Here is a 20,443-nt window from a genome sequence, read left to right as displayed (position 1 = left end):
CAAAGCACTTTTCGGCACTTACTTCACAGAGTTGCTGAGTGTAAACAACGGTGCTTTTAACATTTTTATTGATTCTTTTTTTGAAATGGAGTCTCGCTCTGTTGCCCAGGCTGGATTGCAATTGCTCGATCTCAACCCACTGCAACCTCCGCCTCCGGGGTTCGAGCGATTCTTCTGCCTCAGCCTCCTGAGTAGCTGGGATTACAGGTGCGCGCCACCATGCCCAACTAATTTTGGTATTTTTAGAGACAGGGTTTCTCCATGTTGGTCAGGCTGTTCTCAAGCTCCCAACCTCAGGTGATCAGCCCGTCTCGGCCTCCCAAAGTGTTGAGATTACAGGTGTGAGCCACTGTGCCTGGCCGATACTTCTTAAACTCTTACGCCTTACGTTTGGGGACTGCCAACTGAACTGTCCAGCAGCAGAGCTACTCAGAGCCAAGGCTCTCCACGGCATCTTGTCCAGTCTCTCAGGAGTTAGCAGGCTTACACACGAGGAGACGAAGGCTCAGAGGATAAGGTGCACAGGGTTACGTGGGATTAGGGGCAGAGTTGTGATTTAAACTCTAGTTTGAACTTCAAAACCCAGGCTCGCCCCTTTCCAGGAAATGGGTCAGATCCCAGGAATAATTTGGACAGGGGAATCCTGGGAGATATTGGCCAAACCAGTTTAGTCTTCCCAACTGGGAGGGACATCTGGTCACAGCGGGCCCTAAGTTTCTTTCCTGGCTTGCCCCTCCAGGGGTCGGACAGCTGCCCACTGGGTGCTATTTGGATCTCCCAGCCTGACCAGGTGCCCAATCATGGGCGGAGGCCACATCCCACTTGCCGTGCACGACTGCAAAGGTTGTGCAGCCCGTGTGTGGCCGCCCTGGTAATTCAACTTCTGCACAGGGATCTGCTTCCACCGACTTCCTGCCACTGCCACTCAGCGGGCCCAAGACCGCTCAGATGCAGAGTGAAGGCTCAAGGACCATTCAGCCTGTGCAGGCCCCAGGCCCAGGAAAGTTAGTGTGTAGGCAGCACAGGTCAGTTTGCGGTGGAGGCTCCCTGGTGGTCTGTCCTTTTCTACCTTCCAGGGAAGAGCATGAACCCTGGGCCCTCTTGCTTTACTCCAGCGGAAGCCACCTCTGCAGCCCAGGCCCAGCTGAGGTCACAGCTCACAGCCATCCTTTCGTTTCTCACTTTCTGACAATTGCAAAGACAGGATGTGGGGGAGTGAGCCACAAGGGCCCCTGGGTCCTTCCTCCAAACCCAGATGGGAACTGTTTGACCTGGGAAGGCCCGACTGGCTGCCGGGTAAACAGCCACCCAATCACCCTGGGCCCCCTCACCCAAGGGAAGGGAGGAAGCGCCTCTTCCTCATGCCCCTGAAGAACAATCAAGAGACCCAAACCAGACCAGGCACAGTGGCTCACACTTGTAATCCCAGCACTTTGGGAGGCTGAGGCAGGAGAATCATTTGAACCCAGAAGGCGGAGATTGCAGTGAGCTGAGATGGCGCCACTGCACTCCAGCCTGGGCGACAGAGCAAGAGACTCAAAAAAGAGACCCAGACCAGGATTACGAATGAGGCAATTTATTAACCCAGCATGGTTTGTTCTAATGCTTCTTGTTGGCAGCTGCCACCTGTGGGAAAAGATGGAAGAATAAAAGTTAGTCAAGGGGGTCTCTGCTGGGGCACTTTGTAACAGCTACCTAACTACCCACCACAGGTGGGCACCCCGATTTGTGGTTTCAAATGCATCTATCTCATCTAATTCTCACTGTGGGTATTCCCCCATTTCACAGACGTGGAAACTGAGTCTCAAGGGAGTGGCCAGGCACAGTGGCTCACACCTTTAATCCCAGCACTCTGGAAGGCCGAGGCAGGTGGATCACCTGAGGTCAAGAGTTCGAGACCAGCCTGACCAATATGGTGAAACCCTGTCTCTACTAAAAATATAAAAACTAGCCAGGTGTGGTGGTGTGTGCCTGTAGTCCCAGCTACTCGGGAAGCTGAGATAGGAGAATTGCTTGAACCCAGGTGGCAGAGGTTGCAGTGAGCTGACATTGCACCACTGCACTCCAGCCTGGGCGACAGAGCAAGACTCTGTCTCAAAAAAAAAAAAAAAAAAAAAAAAAAAAAAAGGAAGGGAGTGGCGGAGTGGAGTCCAAATTCCGCCCACTGCCATGTGAGAAGGCCAACATCCAACCACCAGCAATGATGTGTGCGCCAAGCCCCACTCTGCCTGGAAGAGCTTTCTCCTTCCAGACCACCCCCAACTCCTAGAGGGCTGACACTTTCCATTCTTTTGTGACACTTGACTGACTAAATGCTCCAAGGCTCCTAGGAGGCCTGAGTCAGTGATACAGAATTGAGCTCATGCCAGGCCCTGGGTGCTCCTGCTGTACTATAGCTCACTGACTCCTCACTACCATGCTTGAGGTGGCCAAGGGTAGATTTTGGCCACAGGGAGGCCAAGACAGGAGACTGTGGCACCAGGGGTGTGGCCACTCTGCCCCAGGGTGTTGGCCAGCCAGGATCTGAATGGAGACCTGGGTTCTGAACCAGCCCCCCTCCCTTATCTCCACCTCTCCCAAGCAGCCCATGTGATGCTCAGTACGCATGAGGACTAAGGGGAAACATCGCAGGCTGACCTGGGGAGGGGGAGTCATCTACGGGTACAGCTATGTGCTCTGTGGATAGATGCCCAGTGGCACCTGGGCTGGAGTTCCCTCCAATTTTTTTTTTTTTGAGATGGAGTTTCACTCTTGTTGCCCAGGCTGGGGTGCAATGGCATGATCTTGGCTCACCGCAGCCTCCACCTCCCGGGTTCAAGTGATTTTTGTGCCTCAGCCTCCCCAGTAGCTGAGATTACAGGAATGTGCCACCACACCCGGCTAATTTTGTATTTTTAGTAGAGACAGGGTTTCTCCATGTTGGTCAGAATGGTCTTGAACTCCTGACCTCAGATAATTCGCCTGCCTCGGCATCCCAAAGTGCTGGGATTACAGGGGTGAGACACCACAGCCAGCCTGCCTCCAAATTTCTAAGCAGCACCAACAGGAAAAGTCAGACAGGACTGTCCTTTCTCCTGTCTCTGGGCAGCCCTCCTCTGACCCCACCAGCACCCTGGGCTGTGCCCTCCAGAGAAGGAAATAAGTCTACCTGACAAAGTATGGGCTTTGGAAATGCTTGGGCAGCGACTAAGGGACCCAGCCCCACCCCAAACGCAGGCCTTACCTGTCCGGCGATTCTGTCCAGATCTCTTTGTCCCTGAGGTGTCAGTTTGCGGCCGCTGTGGGGAGGGAAGGGTCATGCAGGCCCCAGTGAGCACAGGTCCTGTTCTCAGCCCCTTCCCTCCTGGCTGTGAGCCAGGCTTCTCAAAAAGCCACCTGCCGCCAGCCAAGTCCCACTGAGGGCCCTAGTCAGGTGCATTCTAACGAGCTGGGGGCAGTAGTGGGAGCCCCCCTGGGAGCTGACGGGGTGTTGTTTGTGCAAGCATTTAGATCAAAAGCCCCGAAAAATCAATTGGGAAAAGTTAACGAGCAGGCTAATGAAAGCAGATAGTCGCTAAATTACCCTCCTGGAGCCTGGGCTAGTCAGCCAGAGAGGTCGGGGTGAGGCCCCGTGCTGTTTGCTTTTCTGCAGAATCCCCTCCTGCCTGCCTCTGATAGGAGGGGCCTGAGGGGCTGGGCAGACTATGCAGGACCATTCGTTGGGGAATTGATGACCGGGCCTCAAGGCTACTCCATCAATGCAGCCCCCTCTACCCTGCTTACCCATCTTGGTCCTTTTCCACCATTTTCAGCCCCTCCAGGGCTTGGAGGACCCGGCGGGCCACACTCTTGGAGCCTCGGCTGAAGTGGCTGGGCATGACGCCGTTTCTCTGACGTCCCCCATAGATCTTGGTCATGGAGCCAACCCCAGCGCCACCCCGGAGGTACAGGTGCCGCGCTGTGGAAGCTGGGGGTAGTGTGAGAGGGAGATTTAAGGGTCTTGATCAAGGTCTCAGGTAAACAATTCCTTGTGTGTAAACAGCTAATTCTCACTGTTTTATAAGAAGGGAAACTGAAAACACACACTAACACCCAGAAACTGACAGCCCCCTCTCCTCACCCACCCCCCCGGCTAGCTCTTCCTTGACAAACAGCCCTGCACCCTGGGTGGGCACTCCCACCATCTCCAGGGCCAACTTCTTTAGTGGTTACTATCCCAGCAGCACTGCTGTTGAATTGAACCTGAGGTTATGTAGGGGTGGAGCCTAGCTGTGACCATCTCCATGGGCCCCAGAGAAGCAGGAGTGAAGGGACCTATTGCCACTCTCCGGGCCACCTCAGTCTGGAGAGCTCAGGATAACAAGGGCAGGGCAGACACTCTGTGCAGTGGGTGCCCCCTGCTTGGAATGTGTACCAGCCCCTCTGCAGACACAGGGAAGGCTGGCTTGGGCAAGTCCCTGGTCCACCCCAGCCAGCCTCCTTGCCTGCAAAAAAAGCTCCGTAAAATCCAGTCGACACACCAGCCTCCCCAGAAACGCTTGCACGCTTCTATTAACTGGAGCACACATCTGCCAGGCCCTGTGCCAAATGCTTTTCGATCTCTCCACCCTTCTTCACCTGAGGGCCGGGTTACTCTGAGGACTCAACAGGTGTGTCAAGTGCTACTCTCCTTTAAAGAGTGAAACTGAGGTGCCAGAGGGTACTCACTGGCTCCGTGTCACACAGCTCTGGAGGAACTGCCCTGTCCTGCCACTGTGATGGCACCGGGGCCCACATGCAGGAAGCACCCAGATTTCAGCCATCACATGGTCCTGCCTAGCTCTGGAGCTCAGAGCAGAGTCTGGTTTGTTCCTGGGACCCAGAGATCAGCAAGTTGGTCTGAGTCTGCTCTAGTGATTTCTTTCCTCTAGTTCTAAAGATCAAGTGGGGGAATTGGGGGTTCTTCCATAACTGCCAAGTGCCAGGCAGTAGTCTGTGTGGGGTGGGCTGCTTCTGCCCAGAAACAGTTCTTACACACCGCTTGTTCCCAGCCCACTCCTGCCCTGAGATCAGGTCCAGATACAGCCAGCCCTTCATATCCACAGACTCAACCAAGGGTGGATCAAAAATATTTAGGGGAAAAAAACTACAATTCAAAACAGTGTAACAATTATTTACACCGTATTAGTGCTTTTTCTTTTTTCTTAAAACACAAAAAAAGGGCCTCATTCTGTCACCCAGGCTGGGGTGCTGTGGTGTGATCATAGCTCACTGCAGCCTCGAACTCCTGGGCTTAAGCAATCCTCTTGCCTCAGCCTCCTAAGTAGCTGGGACTATAAGTATGTGCCATGTCTGGCCTGTATTAATCTATAAGTAATCTACAGATGATTTAAAATATATGGGATCAGGCCGGGCGCAGTGGCTCACGCCTGTAATCCCACCACTTTGGGAGGCTGAGGCGGGAGAATCACCTGAGGTCAGGAGTTTGAGACCAGCCTGGCCAACATGGTGAAACCCCATCTCTACTGAAATTACAAGAAAATTAGCCAGGTGTGGTGGCACACCCGCTGTAACCCCAGCTACCTGGGAGGCTGAGGCAGGGCAGGAGAATCACTTGAACCTGGGAGGCAGAGGTTGCAGTTAGCCAAGATCATGCCACTGCACTCCAGACTGGGTGACAGAGTGAGACTCTGTCTCAAAAGTAAAACATCTACATAGGATATATGCAAATATTATACTTTTTTTTTTTTTTGGAGACAGGGCATCATTCTGTCACCCAGGCTGGAGTGCAGTGGTAACAGCTCACTGCAGCTTTGACCTCCTGAATAGTTGGGACTACAGGTGCAAGCCACCACGCCCAGATAATTTCTGAAGAGACCCGGTTTTGCCATGTTGCTCTGGCTGAACTCCTGGAGTGAAGTGAACCACCCATCTTGGCCTCCCAAAGTGCTGGGATTACAGGTGTGTGCCACTGTGCTGGCCCCGATATTTTTTTTTTCTGAGATGGAGTCTCTCGCTCTGTCGCCCAGGCTGGAGTGCAGTGGCGCAATCTCGGTTCACTGCAAGCTCTGCCTTCCGGGTTCACTCCATTCTCCTGCCTCAGCCTCCAGAGTAGCTGGGACTACAGGGGCCCGCCACCACGCCTGGCTAATTTTTTTGTATTTTTAGTAGAGACGGGGTTTCACCGTGTTAGCGAGGATGGTCTCAATCTCCTGACCTCGTAATCCACCTGCCTTGGCCTCCCAAAGTGCTGGGATTACAGGGTTGAGCCACCGCACCCGGCCCCTGGCCCCGATATTACACCATTTTATAGTAAGGGTGAGCATCTGTGGACTTGGGTATTGGGGTTCATCCTGGAACCAATCCTCAGCTGATACTATACAACCATGCTCTGCTGGGGGCCAAGAGCACAGCCCTGCTGTTGGCTCACTACCTCTGGCATCTGCTCACTTTAAAATCCCCACCTCACTCCAGGCCCTACCCCCTACGCCACTGCCTGGTAATAAGTGCCCATAACCAGGACCAATAGACAGACTCACCTGGCGTAAGCCACCCCCCACAATCCTGCCAGAGAGTGACATCACTGGAAACCTCCACCCTTTCAGACCAGCTCAAATACCCAGCAGCTGCTGCCATCCCTCTGGGCCCTGTAGCTGGTTGTGCCCTGGGGCTCTGGGTGGAGACCTGCTCTCCCATTTGAACTACAGTACCCAGGACTGGGGAACGCAGAATAGCTTTTCCTGTTATCCTGCTTTATTTTTTTTTTGAGACGGAGTCTTTCTCTGTTGCCTAGGTTGGAGTGCAGTGGTGCCATCTGGGCTCACTGCTAGCTCCGCCTCCCAGGTTCAAGCAATTCTCCTGTCTCAGCCTCCCGAGTAGCTGGGACTACAGGCACACGCCACCACACCTGGCTAATGTTTTGTATTTTTAGTAGAGATGGGGTTTCACCATGCTGGCCAGGCTGGTCTCAAACTCCTGACCTCCTGATCCGCCCGCCTCGGCCTCCCAAAGTGCTGGGATTACAGGCATGAGCCACCGCGCCCGGCCTTTTTTTTTTTTTTTTTTTTTTAAAGACGGAGTCTCACTCTGTCGCCCAGGCTGGAGTGCAGTGGCGTGATCTCAGCTCACTGCAAGCTCCGCCTCCCGGGTTCATGCTATTCTCCTGCCTCAGCCTCTACAGTAACTGGGACTACAGGCGCCCGCCACCACGCCCGGCTAATTTTTTCGTATTTTTAGTAGACATGGGGTTTCACCATGTTAGCCAGGATGGTCTCGATCTCTTGACCTCATGATCCGCCCGCCTCGGCCTCCGAAAGTGCTGGGATTACAGGTGTGAGCCACCGCGCCGGGCCTCTGTTATCTTGCTTTTTAAGAATAAGGCACACACTCCTAAGCGCAGAGATGCCCAAAGCGGCTGTACACCAGAAATGGGACACTCAACCTCAGTCTTGTTGGGTTGGGACTAGCGCCCAGAGCAGTCAGACAGGAGCTTGAATCCTGACACCGTTCCTCCTCAGGAGGGACACAGGACCCACCTATCCTCCAGGTGGTTTGTGCTGCGGTACTAAAGGAGACACTTTACTTAAACCTTGAGCACAGTGACTGGTAGAGAACAAGCTCCCATAAGGCCTATTAGGTGCTTTTTTTTTTTTTTTGAGACAGTCTCACTCTGTTGCCCAGGCTGGAGTGCAGTGGCGTGATCTCAGACTCACTGCAACCTCTGCCTCCGGGGTTCAAGCAATTCTTCTGTCTCAGCCTCCCCAGTAGCTGGGACTACAGGCGCCTGCTACCACGCCTGGCTAATTTTTATTTTTAGTAGAGACGGGGTTTCACCACATTGGTCAGGATGGTCTCAAACTCTTGACCTCAGGTGATCCGCCTGCCTTGGCCTCCCAAAGGCCTATTAGGTTCTTCAATGGAGGCTTAAATTTTTCTTAAGGCTGTATAAAAACCTTTTGGCATGGAGAACCTTGGTCAGATATTACAAGCTCCTCCCTTGCTATCCCAGTTCATGCTAATTATTTTTTTCTGACCCACTAGAAGGGAGAGGAAGGGTTATTAACTTCACAAATTGGAAAATGCTAAGAGTTGAAATACCGCGTTCTATTAAAACACTGACCTTTTTCCTCACCCCCTGGAGACCAAGGTTCCAGCCCCAGCTTTTGATGTGGAGCTGCACAAATGCAGACCGCCGTAGCTGGTACTCATGAGGGCCAATTGCGAGCAAGTTGCTGTCACAAATGGGTTCTCCTCCAGTTCCTCCATGCTAGAGGCCTTCTGCTCCTCTGCTGTGTGCATTCTTGGGATGGCAACCCACTCCTCTCAGGAACCCCTGTCCAGGAATCACCCCCTACCTGGAACTGTAAAGGAGGCCACCCCTCTCCACTCTACTGTGAGTTCATGGTCAAGGGAGGGCAGCTGTGTTCCTGCTAGACCGAGAGGGAGGGTCCCTCTGGATCTGAGCACGGGGCAGACCAACCAAGCACGGCTCCTTAGGAGTCATCACAGCTCAGCAAAGTCCAGACCGGTGGTCCCATCCTGACCTACTGAGTCAAAGGCAGGGAAGAACTTCCCCAGCACACTCTAGCTGACCCTTCTCTGCCGAACTTGTAAGAAACCACTCTCCTGACCTTGATTCATCCCTTAACTCACTTCTGTGATGCCTCCCAGATCTCATTCTTTCTACTATCATAGCACAAGTGGGTGCCCAGCCCCATGCAGGAGCCAGAGATGGAGCAGCCTCCAACCTACAAGAAGTGTTTCCAGACATCCCAATTCAGCAGCTGCTCTCAGACGCACACCAGGACACCAAACTGGACTCCCACATCTCCATCTTCAGCAGGTCCTTTAAAGAATTAAGACAGCAAGAGGCTTGTCCAGCTGGGTGCGGGAGCTCATGCCTGTAATCCCAGCACTTTGGGAGGCCGAGGCGGGCGGATCACGAGGTCAAGAGATCGAGAGCATCCCAGCCAACATGGTGAAAACCCGTCTCTACTAAAAATAGAAAAATTAGCTGGGCGTGGTGGCGGGCACCTGTAGTCCCAGGTACTTGGGAGGCTGAGGTAGGAGAATTGCTTGAACCCGGCAGGCAGAGGTTGCAGTTAGCCGAGACGGCACCAGTGTACTCCAGCCTGGTGACAGTGCAACTCTGTTTAAAAAAAAAAAAAAAAAAAAAAGCCTGTCCGGGGCTACACTGCACCACCCCCTTCATAAAGACCCATGGCGGCCATCCCTTGAACGTCCAGTGAGAGCAAGTCTTTGCGGGTTCTTCCTCTACCTTGCCCTGCCTCCTACACCACTGCCTTGGGACTGCTTACTCCTACAGCTCTGCTCCATTTCCAGACCACCCTCAAGAGGGCCCCATCTTCTACCATGGGCCTCTTTACCCCCAAACCCCAGGATTAAGACCTGTCTACCTCACACTCATTCCTATAGGTCTCCACAATTTGGCCCTGCTCAGCAAGGGCGCTGCTTTAGCACACTTTAGCCTCAAATCTGAGGAGGCAAAATAGGCCAGACTCTTATGAGTAGAAAAAAGGGAATATAGCAGGGAACCTAGTTTTGGACAGAGCCACCCTGCCAAGCCCTCCCAGGGTAACTTGCAGCAAGTCCCTTCGCCCGTCTGCACCACAGCTTCCTCTTTGGTAAAACAAGATCACTCCCATGATCAGTATAAGCTGACTGCCAAACTGGGTGGAACATGTTAAACTCTAGAATAGAGGCTGGTCAACTTTGCCTGTAATCCCAGTGCTTTGGAAGGCTGAGGCGGGAGGACCGCTTGAGCTTGGGAGTTCAACATAGTGAGACTCCATCTCTACAAATAAAAAAAATTAGCTAGGCATGGTGACTGATAGGCACCTGTAGTCCCAGCTACTTAGGAGGGTGGGGCAGGAGGATCACTTGAGCCCAAGAAGCTGCAGTGAGCTATAATTGTGCCACTGCACTCCAACCTGGGTGACAGGCCTAGACCCTGTCCCTGAAAATAAATAATAAAGGGTCAGGTAGGAAATATTTCAGGCTTTGTAGGCTACAGCTTCTGCCACAACTACAACTCTGCCCTTGTGCATGTAGATACACAGGGGTGGCTATAACCCAACAAAAATATACACAACAGGCCTCTGGTCTACCACACAACCATCCTATGCCGCTAGGACAGCTGGGCAAGTGAGGTGAAAAAGAGGCCTTTGGGGTACTCCAAGTGATGGAGATCAGTAGGCAGGCAGAAGATGCACATCCTGCTTGAGGTTTCCAGGCAGGGCCACTGTGGGCTGCAAGGGACCACAGCAGCTCTACCATGACCAGCAGATGCAACTAGGTTTATTATCCAAGGTCTTAATGCCATCTCTTGTTAATCCCTCCCCATGTTAAAAAAAAAAAAAAAAATGTACAAGACACATACAGTCCTACTTTGGAGGTATTTGGTATGTGCAGAACGTGTCTTCACCCCAGCAAATGAGAAAGGCTAATCCCAGATCCAAAGCTGCTCTGACCAACTGACCCTTGAGGCACTGCCAAAGCAAGATGGGGGGACAGGTGGAGGAGATATGTAACTTCCAGGGCTTGTCACTGCTGTGCGCCCAGGGAAGTCAGCTTCTCTTCATCCGCCCCATTTTCTGTCTAAAACAAACGGTGGGTAGGTGGTATGCCAGCAACCCGACCCACCTCAGCAAGTTCATCTTTCAGTCCTCAGAGGCCGCGGCTGAGTTATGCTGGTCCTCTGTGCTCACTCCATGGCCTGAAAGAGTGGGCCCCAATAGACATTTGAGGCACAAGTGTACCACAAATCTACAAAATGCTTCATATTCTGAAGGGCCAAGCAACCTGTACCAAGGCCAACTCTTTTCCGGGTCATGGAGGAGTTTTGCCGATTTCCAAACCCTGCTTCCCACCTACTTCTTATCTGGAGACAAGTTGTGGTCAGGATGGAGTCCCCACTTCACAGAGAGAGAAGGTTTAAGATTGGAGAGGCCGAGGCCCCTTAGTGAAGGTCGGTGCTAAGGCTGTCACCTTGACATAACACGGCACTGCCACCGCCCACCCTGTTACATCTTCCTGAAAGTGAAGATTTAGTGAGTACTGAAATATTAAGACACGTGAGAACTAACACTAGTCAGGGACTGTACATAAATTATTATTGGAAGATTGAAAAGAGACGGGGCTGGCACGAGGTTGCAGGGTGTCCATAAGATCAGAAGTCAAGATTTAAAGCAGGGACTGACCTGGCCAGATCTCCAACCATTTAGTTAGAAACAGCCTGTTAGAGATATGGAGAAGGCTAACTTGATGATCTGAGCAATAGTAAAGACAACTGGCTTTTTCCTGAATAACTACTGTGCAACAGACACGTTCTAAACACTCTGCTTTAAATTCATTCAATCCTTGCAATACTCTAGTACTGGTACAATAATTAGTCCCATTTTGGGGATGAGAGAGTGCACAGGCAGGTTAACCAACTTGCCAGAGGACACACAGCCAGATGTAAAAGATGGATCCAAACCCAGGGAGTCTGCCTCCGTGTATATAGAAAGGATTAAACCACCTGTAAGCAAAATATGAACATTCATCTGTCTCTGGTTTCCCCTGAGGCTCAAAGCCACAGGTCCTCCTCTCACAAAGCTCTTAGAATGTCATAAAAACTTGGAGTACCAAGTTATCGAATGTCACATCACACAAAGCAAGTGGTGACACAACCAAGGGTTTCTCTCCCTCTTGGGGCGGGAAAGAGCTCAGAGGAGACAGGGAAGTATGGTTTGTGCCAGGGGTCACCCAGCTCCCCACTCTCCAGCCAAAGACCTAAGTTCCTCACCAGCTCGCGTGTAGAACCAGTTCTCATCGTAGGGAGCAAGCTCTTTGTGCTTGGCCAGCTTGACGGTATCCACCCATTCGGGGACTTTCAGCTTCCCGGACCTAAGACCAAAACAGTGGGAAAAGCACGATTCAGTCATCTCCACAAACTACCCCATATCCCAAATGCCCTCCCCTCAACACAACTATGCTGTGCCCAGAGTACAAAGAGAGGCTGGAACCGGAACACAAGCCAGGCCTCACGCTGAAAGGAGCCACGGAGGCCCCAAACAAGCCTCGCCTGCCAGGGACCGGCAAACACTGGGGCTCAGATGGGCAGGCCAAGGCGACAGCCTCCACCCGTTTTGAACCTCAGTCCCCAAACTCACTTTTTGAGGAAGGCTGCCAGAGCTCTGACGAACTCCTGCTGGTTCACGTCTTTTACAGTAACTCCAGGCATCTGAGGGAGAAAGTCAAGCATGTGAACACAGGCCTGGCAGAGACGACTGCCAAGAGCACGGACCCCACCCCAATCCTTTCGCTCCAGCGCATCCTAAACCGTGGTACCCCCCGTTACTTCCCACGGCCCCTTCAACGCCGGGCTCCGGCTCCTGCGGGTCTGAAGGAGCTCACCGACGCCCACGGCCTCTCTGGATCGCACTAACAGAGCCCGGCCCCTGCGTGTGAGGATCCTGCGCGACCCCACTCCCCAGCCCCGGGACTCCGGACGCCCCACGCACCCCGCCGCTGCCCCCCGGGGCCCACGCTCGGTTCCCGGACGGCGCTGACCGGGCATGTCCGGGCCTGCCGCTCGCACGTGGCCGCGGCTCTAGGGGGCGGGACGGGCCCGCGCCGGGCGCCTCGGGGCCCTCAGGCACGCGCTCTGAGGCTTCGGCGTCCGGCCCTGCCGCCTCGCGCCCGGTCCAGCTCGGAGCCCCCGCTTACCGTGCGGCCTCCGCGCTGCCAGCCAGGGGAAAGGGAACGACGGGGTTTCCCGGGCGCACAAGTCGGGCGTAGGGTCTCGCGAGAGTTCCGAAAGCTCGCGAGAGCGAGGGTAGACGCTGAGGCTCCGCCTCTCTCAGGGCGAAAGTTCGTCCCCGCCTAGAGGGGAGGGTGTCTAGTGAGGGGTGGAGAGGTAAAGGGGAGGGCCAAGGGGTCGCGCGTGGAGGCCTGGGTTTCCTCCCGCGTTTCCTTCTCCCGGAGTGTAATAGAGAGAGGATAGAGAGCTCCTGTTCGGAGCTGGGGGAACTTGGCTTCGTTTGCGTCGTTCGTGGCTGGAAGGAACAGTGGTGGAGAATACTATGATGGCGAAAGTACGGGGCAGGATGGGTGGGCCACAGCTGGCGCCCCACGGCGGAACAACCCCTTTTCCGGGTGGAAGTGGCTGTTCCCTGGCCGGAAGTGGGAGTAGTAAGGGCGGAACTGTGACAGGGAACCTAGGGGAAGGGCGAGGAAGAAATGTGGCTATCATCTTCCGTCCTTCACCGCCAGGAGTCGCGAGAGCGGGAGACGGAAGCCCCACCCTTCTCAGGGCGGAAGTTGCTTCAGCACGGCCGGGGCGAGCGAAAAGGGAATGAGGCGCTGGAGGAGGGGAGAAGATAAGGGCGGGACAAAGCGGCAGAGGCGGGACCTTAGCAGAAGTTAGTTCAGCTCTGCCTTCTAGTGTCGGAGTCTGTTCGCTCAGCCCTTACTTTGCCAATTTAGATTTACCTGCCCCGCTGACCTGTGTAGCTTTAGGCAGTCCATTTGCCTTCTCAGGGCTTGTCTCACCATTAAAAAAAAAAAAAAAAAATGAGATCCCCGTTTGTCCATTTAAAGTGGCTCCTCTGGTTCATGGCGCGTCACATGCTCTAAAAAATATTTTTTGAGTGCCTGCTCTGTGCCAGGCACAGGTAAATATTATTTGGACATTTATCATGTGGCTGTTACTGTAGTGTTACATGCATGATCTCATTTAATCCTTACAAGGCCCAACAACTAAATAACGTGGTCCAATAAAATTATGTTAACTTGTTGCAAAAAGGAAACACTGAAATGTGTGTAGCTATTTTCTTATGTTGGAAAGACTGAGAATTTAAAACATAAGAGCAAATATTAGAATTTTACCCCACACTGATACTGTGGCTGCAAAATGTGTTAATTATTAATAAGCCAAGACTCGTATCTGTTAGAAAAATTAAAACCAACCATGCTTCTAGCATAAGATCATATATTTAAATCAAGGTTTTACATTCATGTAGAATGTTGTTGAAACCTATCTCATACTGTTTCTAAAACTTGAGAAAATATTTTCATTATCTCAATTGTTTTTCCAGAACCAACACATACATATTTCCATATGTATTCAAAGTGGGTAATATATGCATGTCTAACTGGAAATCTCCAGGTACTTGGGTAATTTATATTCACTTTTTATAATTTAAGTAATTATTATTTAATTTTTTTTGAGTTGGAGTCTCGCTTTGTCGCCCAGGCGGGAGTGCAATGATGTGATCTTGGTTCACTGCAACCTCCACCTCCCGGGTTCAAGCGATTCTCCGGCCTCAGGCTCCCAGGTAGCTGGGATTACAGGTGCCTGCCACCACACCTGGCTAATTTTTGTATTTTTATAGAGACGGGTTTTCACCACGTTGGCCAGGCTGGTCTCGAACTCCTGACCTCAGGTGATCCACCTGCGTTGGCCTCCCAAAATGCTGGGATTACAGGTGTGAGCCACCGTGCCTGGCCCCCACTTTTAATAATTTCTAATACCAGTTCTGAATCATTTACACTTAATTCATTTAAGTCATTTCATTGAATTTAATTTTTTTTTTTAAAGCTCTCCAGAGGAACTCTGGAGTGCCTGACCAAAGGAAGAGACAGGGTGAATATAGGATTTTGGGAAGAGTGAAGCTTAGGTAAAATTTATATAAAGCAGAGTTTTGATGGACATAAGGCAAAGCAGGCATGTATTTATGCAACGGAGCTAACATCATGCCTGGGCGAGGAGCAGACCCAGGATTCTGCTTCCTTGGACATTAGAAAGTTTAGATAAATGTACAATGTTGTCTCTAAAAACCGCTTCTCTGAGATCATGACTGCTTCTCTGTGTCAAAGTGACTTAGACTTTCCAGGTAAGAATGAGATGTCCCATTTTCACTATTGTTATGATTTTAAAGATTTTTAAAAATTCTGGCAGTCTGTGATTTTAGAGAACACAGTTTCTCAGCACTGTGTCCCTGGTGTTAATTTTTGTACATGTTAGTTTTTACAGGTTCATAATTGACAACTCTGTGAGGTGGTTATAGACCAGTCAACTGAGCCTTAGAGTCAAGTCATTTGTCCAGGGTCACATAAGGTTAAAGCCTGAGCCCGGATTTGAAGCCACAACTGAAGATACTCAAGCTTTTGCAATAAACTTTTTTTTTTTTTGAGACGGAGTCTCGCTCTGTCGCCCAGGCTGGAGTGCAGTGGTGTGATCTCTGCTCATGCAAGCTCCACCTCCCGGGTTCACACCATTCTCCTACCTCAGCCTGTCGAGTAGCTGGTACTACAGTTTCCCGCCACCACGCCTGGGTAATTTTTTGTATTTTTAGTAGAGACGGGGTTTCATCGTGTTAGCCAGGATGGTCTTGATCTCCTGACCTTGTGATCCACCCGCCTTGGTCTCCCAGAGTGCTGGGATTACAGGCTCATGCCTGTAAATTTAGTGTATAAGTACAGAATTCCCATAGTCCCCATGCTGACACACAGGGATGGCCTCCCTTTCTATCAACATTCCACACCAGAGTGGTACCTTTGCTACAATCAAGGAACACAATATTATCACCCAAAGTCCGCAGTTTACATCAGTGTTCACTCTTGTTGTATGTTCTGCAAGTTTTGGCAAATGTGTAATGACACGTATCCACCATTACAGTTTCATAGAGAATAGCTTCATTGCCCTAAACAACACCCATTTATCCCTCCATCCCTCCAAGCCGACAACCAATTATCATTTTATCATTTTATTGTCATCACAATTTTGCCTTTTTCCAGAATGTCATATAGTTGGAATCATACATTTGGATTGGCTTCTTTCAGTTAGTAAGGCATTTAAGGTTCCCCCGTATCTTTCTTTTGGCGGGGTGGAGGGGAGGGGGAGGCAGACAGGGTCCTGCTCTGGAGTGCAGTGGCACTGGAGTGCTGGGATTACAGGCGTGAGCCACCGCACCCGGCCTCAATAAACTCTTTAAACACAGTTTTAAAAATGGGTTGAGGCTGTAGTACCTACAAACAGTGGGATATTATTCAGCCCTAAAAAGAAATGAGCTGGCCGGGAGCGGTGGCTCATGCCTGTAATCCCAGCACTTTGGGAGGCTGAGATGGGCAGATTGCCTGAGTTTAGAAGTTCTTGACCAGCCTGGGCAACACGGTGAAACCCCCTCTCTACTAAAATACAAAAAATTAGGCCGGGCGCGGTGGCTCACGCCTGTAATCCCAGCACTTTGGGAGGCCGAGGCGGGCGGATCACGAGGTCAGGAGATGGAGACCATCCTGGCTAACATGGTGAAACCCCGTCTCTACTAAAAATACAAAACATTAGCTGGGGGAGGTGGTGGGCGCCTGTAGTCCCAGCTACTCGGGAGGCTGAGGCAGGAGAATGGCCTGAACCCGGGAGGCGGAGTTTGCAGTGAGCCGAGATTGCGCCACTGCACTCTAGCCTGGGAGACAGAGCGAGACTCCGTCTCAAAACAAAAACAAAACAAAAAAACGAAATCCCGTCTCTACTAAAAAAATACAAAAATTAGCTAGGTGTGGTGGTGCACGCCTGTAATCCCAGCTACTCAGGAAGATGAGGCATGAGAATCGCTTGAACCTGGGAGGCGGAGGTTGCAGTGAGCCAAGTGCACTGCGTTCCAGCACCACTGCACTCCGCAGCAGGACCCTGTCTGCCTCCCCCTCCCCTCCACCCCGCCAAAAGAAAGATATGGTGGAACCTTAAATGCCTTACTAACTGAAAGAAGCCAATCCAAATGTATGATTCCAACTATATGACATTCTGGAAAAAGGCAAAATTGTGATGACAATAAAATGATAAAATGATAATTGGTTGTCGGCTTGGAGGGATGGAGGGATGAATGGGTGTTGTTTAGGGCAATGAAACTATTCTCTATGAAACTGTAATGGTGGATACGTGTCATTACACATTTGCCAAAACTTGCAGAACATACAACAAGAGTGAACACTGATGTAAACTGCAGACTTTGGGTGATAATACGGTGTTCCTTGATTGTAGCAAAGGTACCACTCTGGTGTGGAATGTTGATACAAAAGGGAGGCCATCCCTGTGTGTTGGCAAGGGGACTATGGGAATTCTGTACTTTCCACTAAATTTTGCTATGAACATATATAATATATATATATATACATACATATGTATATGTATATGTGTGTATATATGTGTGTTGCATGTATATACACACACACATATATATGAGACAGTCTTGCTCTGTCACCCAGGCTGGAGTGCAGTGGTGTAATCATGGCTCACTGCAGCCTTGACCTCCTGGGCTCAAGCTATTCTCCCACCTCAGCCTCCTGAGTAGCTGGGACTACAGGTGCACGCCACCATGCCTGGCTAAATTTTGTATTTTTTGCAGAAAGGGGGTTTTGCCATGTTGCCCAGGCTGGTCCCGAACTCCTGAGCTCAAGCAATCCTCCCACCTTGGCCTCCCAAAGTTCCGAGATCAGAGGTGTGAGCCACTGTATCTGGCCCCTGAAGGTTTTTTTGCTGGGTACGGTGGCTCACAACTCTAATCCCAAAATAATAAGAAACAAAAATACACACATACAAACAAAACAACTCTAATCCCAGCACTTTGGGAGGCTGAGACAGGAGGATCGGTTGAGCTCAGACATTCAAGACCAGCCTGGGCAACATAGTGAGACACTGTCTCTACAAAAAATAAAAATTAGTCTCACATGGAGGTGTATGCCTGTAGTCCCAGCTACTCAGGAGGCTGAGGCTGGAGGGTCACTTGAGCCTGGGAGGTTGAGGCTGCCGTGAGCCATGACTGTGCCACTGTACTCCAGCTTGGGTGACAGAGGCTGTCTTAGAAAAAATGGTTTGAGGTCAGAAAGTTCACATTTTGATGAGGAGAGGGGCAGCATTGGAGTGTGTTAACTCAGTAGGAAAAAACAATTCCTAAGGAATCAGACAGAACGTATTTTACTCAGTCATTTATTCTGAGCTCCCAAGGAGGAGCTGCAGGCAAGTCCTGTGCTCTGAGAGTGCTTATTCTCTGAGGGGGAGACATAGATGGACATAGATAGGCACAGCTCAGGGTGATCAGGACTATGAAGTAGAGACCAGTGGCCCCTTGGGAACATAGGGAACTCTGCCTGAGAGGCTTAACATATTATTTTGAGTTGGATGAAAAGGATGAACTTTGGTTTTGTGAAGAGTTCAGGATCTTGTGAAGGCCCATGCAGGGTAGGGGTTATAGGACTGTATTTATGCAAACGTGTCAGGGCTGCAAAGCCAGCTACACAATGGAACAGGGGTGCAGAATGAGGCCTATGTGGACGAAGCAATGAGGGTCTGCGTATAGGCTGGATGGGATAAGTGTATGATGTCAGTTCTACGTTGGACGAGAATTGAGGTCAGGAGTGGAGCAAGTTAATGTAGGGCTGAAGCGAAAGGAGCATGGATTCCCAAAGGGCAGAATGTGAAATAAGCTCCTGAAATAAAACCTGGGTGACTGTGGGGAGGAGTCTTGTGAGGAGAGAGAGGAACAGGGACGGTGCTTCATAGTTGGGACCTCATTGGTTAAGTCTGCAGAGTGCCAAGAGGGTACACAAAGAAGGTTTAGAAGGGAGATGATTTACTCAGTACTTTATTGGACCATGGCAATACCTTTCCCTACCTGGCACTGGGAAGTGGGAAAGGGGGCAGTATAGGAAACAGTGCTCACAGTCTATTATCTGTAATCTCTCAGAGCCAAGAAGAGGCCAGGAGCCTACTGGCTCCCTACAACCACAGGTGAAGAGTGCTGCACCTGAACAGGCAACAACTTAGGAGCATGAGCAACTCTTAAATCTGCTCTTTTCCCTAAGACTGACATCTGCAGAAGCTCTGGCCCTTTCCCTCAGGCACTAATGGGGGGCCCTAACGATTTGAAAGACAAAGTTGGCCTGGCCAACTGGTGTGAAAAGCCTTGCCCAGGCTGGGTACTGAAGGCCGGGTACTGGAGGAGAGGTGAAGGAGAGGTGGCCTCTAGTCTACTCCTTCCCCCAATCTCCATCACTTCCTCTTTTCCTCCCCTTTTCATGCCATCCTTTAACCCCAAATTATACTTTCTCTTTTACCCTTCTCAGCTCTGTGACCTTGGTGTACAGAGGACCCTTGGTCAGTGCTGAGTAGCAGAATCTCAGCCATGTTGCATGTTGCAGTGCTTCCTTTCTCTGTGACTTTGTGGCCCTGGTCATCTGTCACTAGGAAAGCATGGCACACCAAGTCTTAGGCAGGTCTATTAAGGAGCAATCATATATCTAAGTTATAGCTAAGGGGAGGGAAGAAGGGTGTGAAGCCGACTTTGGTCTCCTGATATCTCAGTATCTCCTGAGAAGTGCTGCAGGTTTGTTACTCTGTACTCTGCTAGGGAGGAGAAGAAACCCACCCTCTCAAAATCCCAAATAAGAAATAACAAGTTGTAATTGGATGTCATCACCATCAATCATCTTGAGTAAAACAAGGGGTGTAGGTAACATCAGGAAAAAGAATCAGTGATCAAGCACATCCCTTGAGCCCCTTCTAAGGGTGGGAATGGGAAGGGGGTCTCCAGGCTTCATGTCTTTGGAATAGCTCAACAGGTTTTCCTATGTACGGAATGGTTCAAGGAGAAGGACTTGACACCAGAGGACTGAGAAACAAATGCAGGTAAGATCTTATTCTTAATGATATCTTGAGGAGAAAAATAAAAGACTTTTTTGAAAAACTCTTGACTTGTATGTATCTTCTGGAGTCCTGATTGGGGAAAGGAGTGGTGCATCTTTCATTCTATGCTTTTATTTATTTGTTTTTATAGAGACAGGGTCTCCCCGTGTTACTCAGGCTGGTCTCAAACTCCTGGGCTCAAGCGATCCTCCTGCCTTGGCCTCCCAAAGTGCTGGGATTACAGGTGTGAGCTATCACACCCGGCCCAATGCTTTATAAACATTATTAACTAATTTGGAGCCTGGCAAAGAGAAGGAACCCTCCTCTGATCTCTGCCTAGAAATTTCCCCTAAAACACTTGGGCAAGTTACTTTACCTCTTTAAGCTTGTTTCTTCACTTGTAAAATGGGAACCATCCTGCATAACTTCCAGGGTTGCTGTGAAGATATGTGAATCAAATGGAGTGGGCACTCAATAAATGGTAATAAATGTTTCTTAACCTTTTATGGATCCTTCGAAACTCAGACACGTGAACCTCCCTAGTTGAGGAAAAACTTGTGATAAAGACTAACTCGATTCTTTCTATTCTGGTTAGCCTCAATTTCCCCATCTGGAAAATGTATCAAATTGGTATTCCACTGGCCAAAGCTAGCCTGAAAATATGTTTTATTTGGCACGTATAGAATTTAAAGAAGAAAACTGAGCCAACATTTGAAAATTAAGATGTTTTACATGGAAATCTAGTTTTCCAGTTTCTCTTAAAAAATCAGAAGATGGAGCAACACTGAGTCCACATTCCCGCCT

The 20,443-nt window shown here is 50.5% G+C and overlaps 1 protein-coding gene and 1 non-coding gene across 5 annotated transcripts, besides 7 other annotated features; both read right to left on the bottom strand.

The window, feature by feature from the left end:
• On the bottom strand, positions 52-12,722 carry RPS19 (ribosomal protein S19). Of its 4 annotated transcripts, none has more exons than NM_001321484.2 (6): positions 12,532-12,722; positions 12,132-12,202; positions 11,765-11,865; positions 3,763-3,946; positions 3,224-3,278; positions 52-1,626 (listed from the first exon to the last, which is right to left on the bottom strand). In NM_001321484.2, the coding sequence occupies exons 2-6, from the start codon at positions 12,200-12,202 to the stop codon at positions 1,600-1,602; spliced, it is 438 nt and encodes a 145-aa protein (NP_001308413.1). In that variant the 5' UTR covers positions 12,532-12,722; the 3' UTR covers positions 52-1,599. The 4 variants fall into 4 exon arrangements, with proteins under 4 accessions (NP_001308413.1, NP_001308414.1, NP_001013.1 ...); NM_001321485.2 differs by having other exon boundaries at positions 11,752-11,865; positions 12,688-12,722; NM_001022.4 differs by having other exon boundaries at positions 12,688-12,722.
• Positions 932-1,191: an enhancer, noted in NCBI's record as "active region_14685". NCBI's record gives its function as "activates an Ori minimal core promoter by ATAC-STARR-seq in GM12878 lymphoblastoid cells {active_cell/tissue: GM12878}" and the evidence as "EXISTENCE:reporter gene assay evidence [ECO:0000049][PMID:35858748]".
• Positions 1,432-1,501: an enhancer, noted in NCBI's record as "active region_14684". NCBI's record gives its function as "activates an Ori minimal core promoter by ATAC-STARR-seq in GM12878 lymphoblastoid cells {active_cell/tissue: GM12878}" and the evidence as "EXISTENCE:reporter gene assay evidence [ECO:0000049][PMID:35858748]".
• Positions 2,944-3,502: an enhancer, noted in NCBI's record as "H3K27ac-H3K4me1 hESC enhancer chr19:42373545-42374103 (GRCh37/hg19 assembly coordinates)". NCBI's record gives its function as "activates a minimal SCP1, AML or CMV promoter by ChIP-STARR-seq in primed H9 embryonic stem cells {active_cell/tissue: H9 hESC(primed)}" and the evidence as "EXISTENCE:reporter gene assay evidence [ECO:0000049][PMID:30033119]".
• On the bottom strand, positions 3,279-3,350 carry MIR6797 (microRNA 6797). Its single transcript, NR_106855.1, has one exon. It is a non-coding gene; the product is annotated as a microRNA 6797 (primary transcript).
• Positions 6,475-6,534: a silencer, noted in NCBI's record as "silent region_10673". NCBI's record gives its function as "represses an Ori minimal core promoter by ATAC-STARR-seq in GM12878 lymphoblastoid cells {active_cell/tissue: GM12878}" and the evidence as "EXISTENCE:reporter gene assay evidence [ECO:0000049][PMID:35858748]".
• Positions 12,264-13,019: an enhancer, noted in NCBI's record as "NANOG-H3K27ac-H3K4me1 hESC enhancer chr19:42364028-42364783 (GRCh37/hg19 assembly coordinates)". NCBI's record gives its function as "activates a minimal SCP1, AML or CMV promoter by ChIP-STARR-seq in naive H9 embryonic stem cells {active_cell/tissue: H9 hESC(naive)}" and the evidence as "EXISTENCE:reporter gene assay evidence [ECO:0000049][PMID:30033119]".
• Positions 12,401-12,520: a silencer, noted in NCBI's record as "silent region_10672". NCBI's record gives its function as "represses an Ori minimal core promoter by ATAC-STARR-seq in GM12878 lymphoblastoid cells {active_cell/tissue: GM12878}" and the evidence as "EXISTENCE:reporter gene assay evidence [ECO:0000049][PMID:35858748]".
• Positions 12,581-12,710: a silencer, noted in NCBI's record as "silent region_10671". NCBI's record gives its function as "represses an Ori minimal core promoter by ATAC-STARR-seq in GM12878 lymphoblastoid cells {active_cell/tissue: GM12878}" and the evidence as "EXISTENCE:reporter gene assay evidence [ECO:0000049][PMID:35858748]".

Source organism: Homo sapiens, chromosome 19 (genome assembly GCF_000001405.40).
Source record: "Homo sapiens chromosome 19, GRCh38.p14 Primary Assembly".
NCBI classification, from domain to species: Eukaryota; Metazoa; Chordata; class Mammalia; order Primates; family Hominidae; genus Homo; species Homo sapiens.
The sequence above is the reverse complement of the archived record's forward strand: the minus strand, read 5'-3'. Positions and strand labels throughout refer to the sequence as shown.